General features: G+C 44.9%; 1 protein-coding gene across 21 annotated transcripts in view, besides 1 other annotated feature; it reads right to left on the bottom strand.

Annotated features, from left to right (window-relative positions):
• The window catches only part of NTM (neurotrimin), a 966,208-nt gene that overhangs the window by 869,443 nt on the left and 84,580 nt on the right, over window positions 1–12,185 (bottom strand). The gene's annotated exons all lie outside the window — the stretch shown is intronic.
• Window positions 3,351–3,645: a silencer, noted in NCBI's record as "tiled region #1894; HepG2 Repressive non-DNase unmatched - State 24:Quies, and K562 Repressive non-DNase unmatched - State 24:Quies". NCBI's record gives its function as "represses a minimal TATA promoter and a strong SV40 promoter by Sharpr-MPRA in HepG2 and K562 cells {active_cell/tissue: HepG2 | K562}" and the evidence as "EXISTENCE:reporter gene assay evidence [ECO:0000049][PMID:27701403]".

Below are 12,185 nucleotides of genomic sequence, written 5' to 3'. Positions count from 1 at the left end.
AGGTGGGCTCCCTCCTGACCACTACTGATGAGTTATGGGAATGAGAGAAATTTACTCATCTCCCGTGGAAATGCAGACAGGCAAGGGCATGATTGTCAGGAGCAAGGGCTTCTCTGAGTTACAATTCATTTCCTCCTGGGATCCCTCTCCTTCTTACCCCTCTTGGCCCATCTGTCCCCACCTTTTTGTCTTTAGTTCCTCTTACATTCTCTTCTTTTCTCGTCTACTCTCTCCCTTCCTTAGCTTTCCTTTACCAACAGTAAATATATATTTTAAAAACATTGTCATTCATCATTCTCAAACTACTGAAGCAATTCTTCAGAGTCCCTGTACGCCAGAAAACTAAGGATTGGATTGGGAGCCTGTATGGTGTGTTTGCATGTGCGTGTGTGTACGTGTATGCACATGTGTGCACACGTGTGTGTCAGTGAGTGTGCAGTGAGCTGGAAAGCAGGCCAGTAATTTCATTCCCCTTGTCCTTGCAGTTGTGAAAGTGTGACCGAGTGAGGAATAAGTCTGCAAATTTCCAACACAATAAAAATAAATTAAAAGAAGAGAAAAAAATTGTGATTTTGATTTCAAAAAAGCTGTCTCCTTTCCAAGTATAGTAGTTATATACTTGATTCTATTTGCTCTATCAACAACTGTAGTGATTTGGAACCATGATATACCCAGCTACCTAATTTCAATGGAAAGGAGGGAATTCATGGAGATAATTACTGAGAGGCTAGTGATGCCGCAAATTAATACATATAACTTGTGCGGCATAACATGCTAGGGAGAGAGATTAGCAGAATGATTCTCATTTCAAAGAGAAACTGAGGAAGGGCTAGCACACAGCCTGCACAACCCCAGGGAGGGGTTAGTTCCAAGAGCTGACCTTAGTTGTCACTTTTCCCAAACCTCCACAACTGCTTAAGCCTTATGCAAGTTTGTGCATCTTAGATCAGGTTACTTAAATGCTTACAGTCCAAGTTTCCTTAGCTCTAAGATGGAGATAATAATAGCACCTGTTGTAATAAGATTGTGGTAAGGATTAAATAAAATGCACTTTGCACGAGGCCTGACCCTTAAGAAGAAGTCAATAAATCTGGGCTGCATTTGTAGCTTGAATTCCTCCGCTCATCTCTCGGTTAACATCTCCTTCTCCGTCTTCCCACTCCTCTTTGCTGTTTTCTTCTCTCTGCCCCTTGATTTATCTTGTGGGCTCCTTCGACGGGCACAATCCTTGGCTGTCAGGGTCGGGCAGGCTCTGAGAGGATCCAGAATAGATCACGCACCTGCTCACATGCTGCTCTTCTCCCTGCTGAAGGCTGATGGCTTTGGGCAAAAGCTTGTAGGTTCCTCATAGACACACATCCTGCTTTGCCTGACACTCCTGCAGAGTGATAGCTTCTACCCTGAAGGGGCGCTCAAAGGGCCATGCCCCCTTGTGGTCATCAGCCATCTGGTGGTCATTAGCAAGTATCAGGTTACCCTGCTGTGGCTTTGGAGGACAGAGAGGGGTCTCACGGCTCCAGGGCACAGCCAAGGGACAACCACAGACCTTTTCTATGAAGCTAGGTATAATTCCTGCCACATGGCCCTGCAGAACCGAGCTTTGGGAATGGCTCTGGTGCATTCAGGGGAGTATCTAGTCCTGTCTGTCTGTGCTAACAATGGCCCAATTTGGAATTCTGACAAAAGAAAAGACTGTTCGCTGTGGAATTCAATACTTTATTGACTTTCAATCCAAGTTTGTGCTCTGCTCTGTAAAATCACAGGTCGCAGGATACCTCAGAGGAGTACACAGATCCCAGGGGCTTAGGCCTCAGGGCCTGGGGTGAAAGACCCCAGGTATGACAAGAACTTTAATGGTTGGAAGAGAAGACATAGTAAGCTGGCAACCTGGGCAGTCATAGGAATGACCTTCTCCCAGTGGGCCATGGAGCCTCCTGCCTTCACCAGTCTAGTACTTCTAGTTTAAAAAAAAAGAAACCTGGATTTTTCTCAGATTGTAGTGTGATTCAGAGTTTACAGCTCCCTTTTCCAGTCTGGGCTGCAGAGAAGCAATGGGCTATGGTACGTGTGTGGGGCCAACCATCCTAGAGGACGGAGGCACCCGCAGGTCACCCATGGGGCGGCTCATCTGTGCAAAGCTTATCCCTAAGCAGCTCCACCTCGCCACCCAGCTGGTTAGTATTCAAGAAATGCAAACTCATTTGTCACCAGCAAAGCCCAAATGGGAGGGTCATGCCACTGTGCATTAATTGCCTAACATACAGCAAAGCCAAATATAAATCATTCTGGGGTCATCCATTCTTGGAATTTATCCACCATTGGGGAGAATTGGGAAACAGCTAAACTCAGTGCAGTATACATGTGTATACGTGTAAAACGTGTGTGTTTACATGTGTGATTTTTCCAAAGGCTTTAATGGCCTCCACTCCTAAATCACAGTTCTAGAAACATGGAGTCAAAATGAAAACAGGGGGTCTTGTCCAGCAGAGCTATCAACCCAGACCGGCACATTCAGAGGTTTGGGGATTTTAGGAAAAGTACCTGGAGGATCCGACCAACTTTCTAAGCATTGCTTGTGGCTCTCCTAGATCCCTCGCAGACCCGCTTGGACACTGACAGATGGAAATCAGCCAGAATTCCACAGAATGTGGTTCTCAGCCGGCAGAAGGGCGTCCTGGCCCCTCGGGGCACTGCTGGTTCCCAGGACTGGGGCGGAAGACATCTCTGATTTGTGAGCTTGTTCGAGGTGTCAGACTGCCTGAGTATGTAGAATATTTGCCAAATTGGGAGTTGGGGAGGGGGCAGTAAGGAAAAGGAGAGTGAAAAGGAAGAGGAGGGAGCCAGGAAGAGAGAAGGAAACAGAGAGGGTGGGAATCCTGTTAGGGAGGCAAATCTGTTGAGGAGCCTCCGTTAATTTATAACCTGTGAATGTACCACCCAGGTTAGAGACGGCTGCCAGAGAGCGGTTCAGTCATGAATGTATGACGGGGCCCCCTTTCCCTTGTTGCTGCCCCCCCCCCAGCTTTCCCTGCGTTGCTGCGGGTGTAGTGAGGGTGGGGCCAGGTGTCCTGACAGATCATTCTCCGGTCTTCTAAAGTTCCAGGGCTCCATGGTGTGTTTGCAACTCCCTGCCGCATTCCCAGAAAGTTTCCATATGGTGCTTGGTCTCCAGGGACTTGCTTTGCCTGACACTTTCATGAAGAACCAAGGGGCCAGCTTCCTGCAGCCACGTCCACCGCTCTTCCTGCTGGCCCCTCTGCACCCTCCTCCCTCAGCAGCCCCTCATCCACAATCTCCAGAGAGAGGAAACTCGCGGTCCTCAAGTGGGAGACGGGGAAACTGCCTAGAAAGCCAAGCACCACATAAACAGGGTTTAAGAAACAAGAGCTGTTACTTTAATTATGGCTCGTGCTGCTTTATCGCCAGTCCCGTTTCTCACACATTCATCAGAAACCTGGTGATAAACCAATCTCTGGGAGCCAGAAGCTGCCAGGGCAGGCTGCCGCCTCCAGGCCCCATCCTCTCTCCTTCCTGGGCCCGTTCTCCTGGAGCCACCGCCTGATTAGCATGCAGCCTGGCACTGCGGCTTCGGGCTGAGTCTGAGAGGCGCCGATGCCCCAGCATGGATTCCACATGGACTATTTCAGCAATGAAGAAGCGTCAGGAAGCAGAGTATTTGCAGGGGCCAGGTTTATAAAGGTAGGACAATGTAAAGCTAGTTCACGATAACAGTAATAATAATGCATAATAAATTCAATAGATTTATTTTTGATAAATGTATTAATAAGTATGTAATAGGATATTTAATACAAATACATTAAATAATAATACTAGCAGCTGTCATTGACTAAATATTCACCATGTGCCTGGCTGATATGCTAATCCCCAAGCCTGGGGCCCCAGCGGCCACACAGCAAGGTACAGATGACAAGCTGCACCTCTCAGCTGTGAAAATGGCAGTCAAGCGTTTGGCTCAGCTGTGCCCAGGTCACGCACTGGGGGGCAGAGCTGGGTGCTACCCTCACCCATGCCTCTCTGCTGTGGTCTAGGACCTCCTGGTGATGCACGTGCCCCTGCTTCCAGGATCCTGCCATGTGCACCTGCTGTTGTCGTTTAAGGCAGCACCAGGAGCTGTGGATGGAGAGCAAGGCTTGTGCTCAGATCCTACAATCTCCGGCTGCTTTCCACCATGGGACAGGAGGGCAATAGGATGGAATGTTGCTCCTGTAACCTTTTTATAATCTTTTTCCAGAAGAGAAAGCTGAAGGTCCAAGAGGTAAAGTCACTGACCTCAGGGCAGACCTGGGCCAGAGGGCAGCTCTCTAAAGGGCCGGCAATTGCTGCACTGCATGCAAAGAAGATGTGGAGAGGTTGTATTTGAATCTTCCAAATAACCTATTCTTACCTATATCTTCTTTTTTTTTTTTTCATGAGTAGATAAGTGACCCTTCCTAGTTCCAGGTTAGCCTTTTGTTTGTCACCTTTCAGCTGGGAGGCACAAGCCATGGTGGACCACCCTAGGTGGGCCTACTCTAGTGAGAAGGTGGTGGACCACCCTAGGTGGGCCTGCTCTAGGGAGAAGGTGGTGGACCACCCTAGGTGGGCCCGCTCTAGGGAGAAGGCAGTTTTGCTGCCAGGCCCTTCCTGGAAGTTGCTGTACAATGCTAGGAAGAGGGCAGGACATGTTGGAGTTTGCCAGGATCCATGCAGGATGAAAGGAAACCACTGAAACAGAATCAGATCCCCTCAACTGAAACAGTGGCCACTCTCAACCAAGGAAGAGGGAACTCAGGACAAAGAAAAGCAGCATTTAGCTGACAATCTTCAACCTTTCTTCTCTGCTGAACCGAATTCACTAACTTCAACGTGCCATTTGCATCCTTCCTTCTTATAAGGCTGACCCCAGCCCTCACTAGCCTCTTGATTTTGTCATTTTTGTATTTTTAAATGTTGGGTCACTGTTTGTTTTTTAAAACGGATGTATGATTGACATCCAGTAAAAGTCACCATTTTGAGTGCATAGTTTTATGTGTTTGAACAAACATATAGTTATGTAGCCACCTCCATAATCAAGATATAAGACATTTCCATCATCCAAAAAATTCTCTTGTGCCCATTTATAGTCAATTCATCCCACAACCCCAGACCCGATCTGTTTTCTGTCACAATAGTTTTGCCTTTTCCAGAATGTTCTGTGAATGGAATAATACAGTATTCAGCCTCTTGGATCTGCATTTAAGGCTCAGCCACAAAACATGTAACAATATCAGCAACTCTTTCTTCTTTATTGCTGAGTAGTATTTTGCTGTGTGGTGTTCTTCAGTTTTTTTTTACCCACTCACTAGTTGAGAGACATTTGGGTTGTTTCCAGTTTTTGAAAAGTACGAATAAAGCTGTTGCAAAAATTTGCATGCAGTTTTGTGTGTGCATAAACCTATGTTTTTGTTTCTCTTGGTCTTGCTGGGATTTCAGATAAAGGCATGTTTAATTTGAATGTCCCTGCTTTGTATCTCCCACATCTCTCTTTTTTCAGCTTTATTGAGGTATAATTGACAAAGAAAAATTATATATATTCAAAGTGTACAATGTGACATTTTGGTTTGCATACACATTGTGAAATTATTATCATAATCAAGGTAGATAATATACCCATTGCCTCAGAGTTATCTTTTTTTGTGGTAAAAATACTTAAGATCTGCTCTCCTCAAAAATGTCAAATATACAATGCATTATTATTAACCATAGTTACTGTTCTCTGCATTTGTCTTCATAACTTATTCCTCTTACAGCTACAAGTTTGTATCCTTTGCCCATCATCTCCCCATTTCCTCCACCCCGCTACCCCTGGTATGCACCCTTCTAATCTCTTTTCTCTGAGTTCAACTTCTTTAGCTTCTGCATGTTCATAGGTCTCTCCCATCTCTTAATGTCATTTCCACAGATACTTTTCTTTAGCTGTCTTTTAATTTTCTTTTCACCAACTCAAAATTGTTAAATATCGGTAGGTATCAGTCACTATACAGACATGGAAGTTACAAGAATTCATGAGATGCTTTTCTGAGATTTCTGTATCTCTATGGCACCCAATCTGCTGAGTAGTAGACATTCTACTTTGCAACAATAAGGGAGTTGGGATTATAATGCACTGGCCAACCCAAGTCTTATTGTCAGAAGATTGGCTATAAAGTAACAGTGATTGCCCACAGGCATACCCGTAGATTCTGGTTCACAGGCAATCCCTCTCTCAGATGTAGAGCAAGGTAGCTTTTGCAACCGATACCCTCATCTTCACAATTTCCCTTATACTTGAAAACATCCAGAGGAAATGATCTAAACTATTTGAAGAATACAAATATTTTGTACTGATTGTTCTGACTGTGCACAAGCTTAAGAAAGCTCAGAATCACAGTATTTTCATAATATAAGGTCACCTTGTTCAACTTTCTATCAATACTTGAATATCCTCTGCAACACTGTTGCTCAGCCAAGGGCTGAATTTCCCCAGTGACATCAAAAGCACTCTCTTGGCAGGGCGCGGTGGTTCACGCCTGTAATTCCAGCACTTTGGGAGGCCCAAGCGGGCGGATCATTTGAGGTCAGGAGTTTGAGACCAGCCTGGCCAACATGGTGAAACCCCGTCTCTATTAAAAATACAAAGAATTAGCCAGGCGTGGTGGTGGGTGCCTGTAATCCCAGCTACTCAGGAGGTTGAGGCAGGAGAATCGCTTGAACCCGGGAGGCAGAGGTTGCAGTGAGCTGAGATCGCGCCACTGCACTCTAGTCTGGGCGACAGAGCGAGACTCCATCTCAGAAGGAAAAAAAAGAAAAAAGAAAGAAAGCACTCTCCTGGTGTGATGAATCGAGCATAGTATTTGGATTAAGAAGTGCTTTATGAAACTGCATGAGTTGCTACAGGTTTTGCTTTCTTCATCATCATCATTATTGTTGTCATTATGTCATCTATAGATAATTCCGAATACTAAAAATTTTACTTGTATACTAAGCCAAAATCTGTAATCCTATTACTTCATTTATTGATCTTACTTTTGGCCTTTGGGGCCATTCAAAATAAATGAGAACCAAGTGAGAGATTTCAAAATATTTGAAATCTTCATTCTTCTCTCCAGACTGAAGGCTAGGCTCCCTCTGTTCCTTCTATTCCTCATCAGAAGACATGACCTAGTCTATTCATCATCTGGGCCATGCAGGGCATTACGCTGTCTATGAATCCCTGACTGCTTATAATGCTGGAAATAAAGTTTGTTCTGGACACTGTTGGTCTGTTAATACAGTCCCATATCTCAACTTTTCGGGAAATTACACACACTAACGACACATCATACTTTCTGGCAACTAAAATTCCTAAGCATTTTTTTTAAGTTCTGCCACGGAGCCTTATTTTCTTTTACTGCTTTGAGACAATTGTTTTATTTTTTTAAAAAAATACAAAACCTGGCCCACTTCCTAAGCTTGTCAACATCCTTTGAAATCCAATTCTGTCATGCTAATAACTAATCCACCCCAGCCTTGAATCAGGTGAAAGTATGATCTGCATGTCTTCAGTAGCTCTATCTTATGCTGATAAATAGGTTAAACAGGACAGAGTTGAAGACTAAGGCCTTCCTCCAGGTTGACACAGACCCACTACTCAACACTATCAGGACTGTCATTCAACTAGGTACAAATTCACCCACCACCCAGGACCGTGCTTAGATTTAAAACATGAAATTTACTAAATTTCTTCACAAGTAACTAGGTAGAAAAAGGAAATGAGTTAGGTTAATAGGACTTACTCATAGTGAATCAATGCTTGTTTCCAGTGAATGCGGTTTTCCTTTCTAAGCACTCATAATCATCCTATTAATTCTTTTTTTTCTATAGTCTTTCTTTCTAAAAGCTGGCAATGTGTAAGTTGAAATTCTGAACATTCATAATAAATACTGATAATACTGTATTATCGTATTACTTCTTATTCTCATCAATCCTATAGATGAACATAGAATTTAGACTTTCAGTGATGTGCAATGAACACATCTATAAGATAGTTTAAAAATATTTTTGGAAGACACCAAGCCCTTTCTGAACCTGGGTGATACAACTGTAGAGAAGCAGGTGAGGACAATGGGCACCTGTTTATTCAGCACCTTGCTGGTGAGAGCAAGAGGCCTGTGGCCCCTGGACGCAGTAGGTCCTGAATGGCAGCTGTCTGATCTACTTTCTGAGAGTGGCGTAGATGTCTGCACCCCCATGTGGGAGGCTTATGCACAGATCCATGAAGGCATTTTAACTGCATGGAGAGGTGGTATTCACATTATCCTGTGCAATCTGGCCAGATGCCTTTATGTACAAAGAAACAAGAGCTAGCTTCTCCAGGGAAGCCAAGTAATGGACATGATTGAATGAAATCATGTTTTTGCCCTAGGGCAGTGGGTATCCAAGTGCAACTCCTGAACTAGAAGTCTCAGTATCAATTAGGACCTTGTTAGAAATGTAAATGCTTGGACTACAAACCTACGGAAACACAAGCTCTTGAGTGGAACCCAGAAAACTGTTTGAATAAGCCCTCCAGGTGACTTGATGTGAACTAAGTTTGCAAACCATTGCTCCAGCATTTGACAACCCAGTTTAGACAGCCCTGGGAATGGGTGGCCTGAGATTGGTAACTACTCTCAAAATTTAATTCAGCAAATGTTTTCTGTAGTGTTTATTCTGCCGAAGGCCTTGTGCTAGGTGCTAGAGATAAGACACAAATGTGAGTAACACATCACCCAGAGCCCCTATCCTAAGTGACAGACAGTAACACACGTCATGAAAATCCTGCTGGGTGTTAGAAGGAGAAAGAAAATCAGTCCAGTTGGGTAGGGAGAGAGGCTGAGGGAAGGTAAATGAGAACAGATGAATTTTGTGATGGTGGGATTTTGGTAGGCAGAGGCTGGGGAAGGAGCTCCGCAGGTGTTCTTGACCACTCTCCTCTGTGCCCTATAAATGCTTCGACTATGGGCTTTCCCCTCCAAATGTGCACATCTGTGTGTCTCCATCACTGCATCAGGAAGGCTTTTGTCAGGTCACAGGTGATCTCGGCATAGCCAAACCCAGCAGTCTCTTCTTAGTTCTCAGCTCACTCCACCTGCCAGCAGCACTTGTACTGTTGATTGCTCTCCTGCATAAGGCACCTGTAAACCAAGAACCCACTCTCTTCTTTTCATCCTCCTGCCTCCAGGCTCTTCCTTCTCTGCTGAGTATTGGAGTAACTCCAGGCTCAGTAATCAAACTTCTTCCCTCTCTACTCACACTCATCCCCTAGTGATCCAGTCTCAAATGCATGCATTGCATACCCTCAGTCCATTTGGGCTTCTATAACAGAATACTGTGGAGTGAGTGGCTTATGAACAACAGAAATGCATTTCTCACAGTTCTGGAGGCTGGAAGTCAGAGCTGATGGTGTCAGCATGTCTGGCTTCTGTGAGGGCTCTCTTCTGGGTTGCAGATCACTGCCTTCTCATTGGCCAAAAAGAGAGCTCTCGGGGGCCACCTTTATAAAGACAGTGGTCCCATCCATGAGGTCTCCATCTTCATAAACTAATCACTGCTCACAGACACTACCTTGTAATACTATCAAATTATGAGTTAAAATTTTAACACATAAATTTGGGGGGGGAGGACAAAAACATTTAGTGCATTGCACATATGATTCCAAAATTTTTGGTCCAAATCTCTTCCTGAACTCCGGATTTCACACACAAACACCTACTTAACGTATCCGTTTTGCTACCTCACAGGCACTGTATGTAAACTTACCATGCCGCAGTATCATTTCTGGCATACTTCCTCTTCCCTTAATCATCTTCCTTTCGGCAAATGGAATAACCCCCAGTGGCTTCCCATCTTCCTCAGAGGAAGATACAAATGCTTCTTCGTGGCTGGCCAAAGTCTCTCTCTGCCAGCCTCTCTCTGACCTGCTGCTCTCCTCCCTTCCCCCACCCCTCTTTTGGGTTCCTGTGGCTTCTCGGCTTGTGCTCACCTCTCTACTGCATGCAGGGGGCCTCCTTTCTGGCCATCTGTGTGCTCTCACTTCATGTCTCTGCTTAAATGGCACTGCATCTGAGAAGCTACTCCCATCCACCCTATCTAAAGATACAGGACACACTCTCTTGGACTTAGTCTTCTTTGTTTTTCTTCATGTTATATGTTTGCTAGTTAGTTTTGCCTTCTGTTGTCACTTGGATCCTGGAGGAGAGCAACTCTCTCATGGTTCAACACCATATCCCTAGCACCAAGTACAGCTCCTGGCACAGAAAGTATGCTTGATAGATATTCATTGAATTATTGATTTGTAATATGTTACAAGTCCATTTCCCTGAAATAAACATTGCACCCCTTGAGCACACTGAAGCATCTTATATGATGCTGGACCTCCGTCATCCAGCATAGGACCTCACACATGGTGTTGCGTGAACTGAGGAGACATTTCAAGAGTCAGAAAAGCATGAAAATCATAGAGATAGGAAAGCACAGGAAGCTTAGGTCCAGCAAATAATCCAATTTAGCTGAAGCAGAGATCCGTCCATATAAGAGAAAAAATAGAATTGTAAACCTCAAAGGAACATGCTAGTGTCATCAACTCTAGCCCCAACTCAAAATGTAGGCATGCACAAGCCCTTACGAGTAGACAGGATTTTCTCTATCGGCAAGGAGGTTCTTTGGCTCCAAATTAACATTATTCATGATATCAAGGTTTCCTTTCGGGCTCCCCTTTCCCTTCTCAGTCCCATTTCTCTTAGAGCTGAGCTGAACCCCCTCTTTGCAAGCTGCTTACCCTGCAGCACCCCTCCCTGAGGCAAAGAGCCACACTGGCTTTCTGGGCCTGTCTGTTTTGGGAGCCATGCTGGGGCACTCGACTTTAGCTGGCTTGATGAGAACGAAGGAGGGAGGGCAGTCCCAGCTCAGTTCTGAAGCAGAGAAGGTGTGAATGTTGATTATACAAATTGGGTCATTCCTGTCATACTCAACCAAAACAGAATCAAGAGGCCAAGGGAAAAAGCACTCAGGACACATAACATTGCTTCAGAAATATAATTCTCTGCTAGCCTGGTTTCTGGAACTGCCTAGTGTAATTGAAAACCAGTTTTATCTAACAGCGACTGAAACAACCTGCTGCTACTGAAACAAACTCTGAGACCAGTTTTACCTACCATTGTCACTCACCAGTCAGAGCTTGCCAGCTCCTTAATCAACTTATGCCTAGTGCTCCACTATTGGAACGCTAAGCTAGTAGTTATTTATATCCTACTGCTCAAGGTCACCGCCAAGGTCTTATTTTTCACACACACAAAATTTGCAACCTAGGCACAAATGGGTCAAGACTTTGCTAGTGCCAATGAACTTTCTTTCAGAACAATGAATAACATTTCTCCTTTTTATAAAACTTCCAACTTTCTCTTTGTTCATCAGACATACCAAAGACCATCCACACTGTATGTCGGCCTCAAAACGCAATTCTTGTTTCCCAGATAAAATGTTTCAAATTAAGACATTCATCTCTATATTTATTCGACTTCAACAGAGGTGACGTGCCAAGTTGAGGTATGCCCGCTGCCTTGCTGACAGTCCTCCTTGCAAGGCCTCCACCACTCCCAGCATGTCCACCAGCCTTGAGCTGCTTTGCTTCAGAACTTAGACCTGTTGGATCACATCCAGACCCCTCGTATAATACAATTCCTCTGTCCAGCCCTGGGCTCAGACCTCTATTTGAGCCTGGACTTTAGCAAATCTCTATTTGACTTTGAACGCCACTGCTAAACCTTTCTCCCTAAGCTTTTCGAGACCCTCCCTCCATTCTTCTCAGCCTCTCCCCCTACCTCAGTGGACCCATTGTCTTCTATGTAACAATTCCTTTGAGAAAATGATAAAACTTACTGATTCATCGTTCTACTCCTTTGTGGTCAGGCCCTCAGGAAGGTTTTAGCGCTTGAAGCCAGAACTTGAGCTCAGTGGTCTGACAGTGGGAATGCCAGCAGCAGCCTCATCGTGCGGAGGTGGGGCTGCAGCCTTCAGAGAGCTGCACAGCCTCTGGGGTGAGCCTCCGCTTGGGCCGTCTACTCGTAACACCTCCTGCATCTAAACCTGTGGCCAAGCCTTATGAACCCACGGGGCTGGCTGCAGCTGTTGCATTACAGTTGCAGATT

The sequence above is a fragment of the Homo sapiens genome, chromosome 11 (assembly GCF_000001405.40).
Source record: "Homo sapiens chromosome 11, GRCh38.p14 Primary Assembly".
In the NCBI taxonomy this organism is placed as follows: Eukaryota; Metazoa; Chordata; class Mammalia; order Primates; family Hominidae; genus Homo; species Homo sapiens.
The sequence above is the reverse complement of the archived record's forward strand: the minus strand, read 5'-3'. Positions and strand labels throughout refer to the sequence as shown.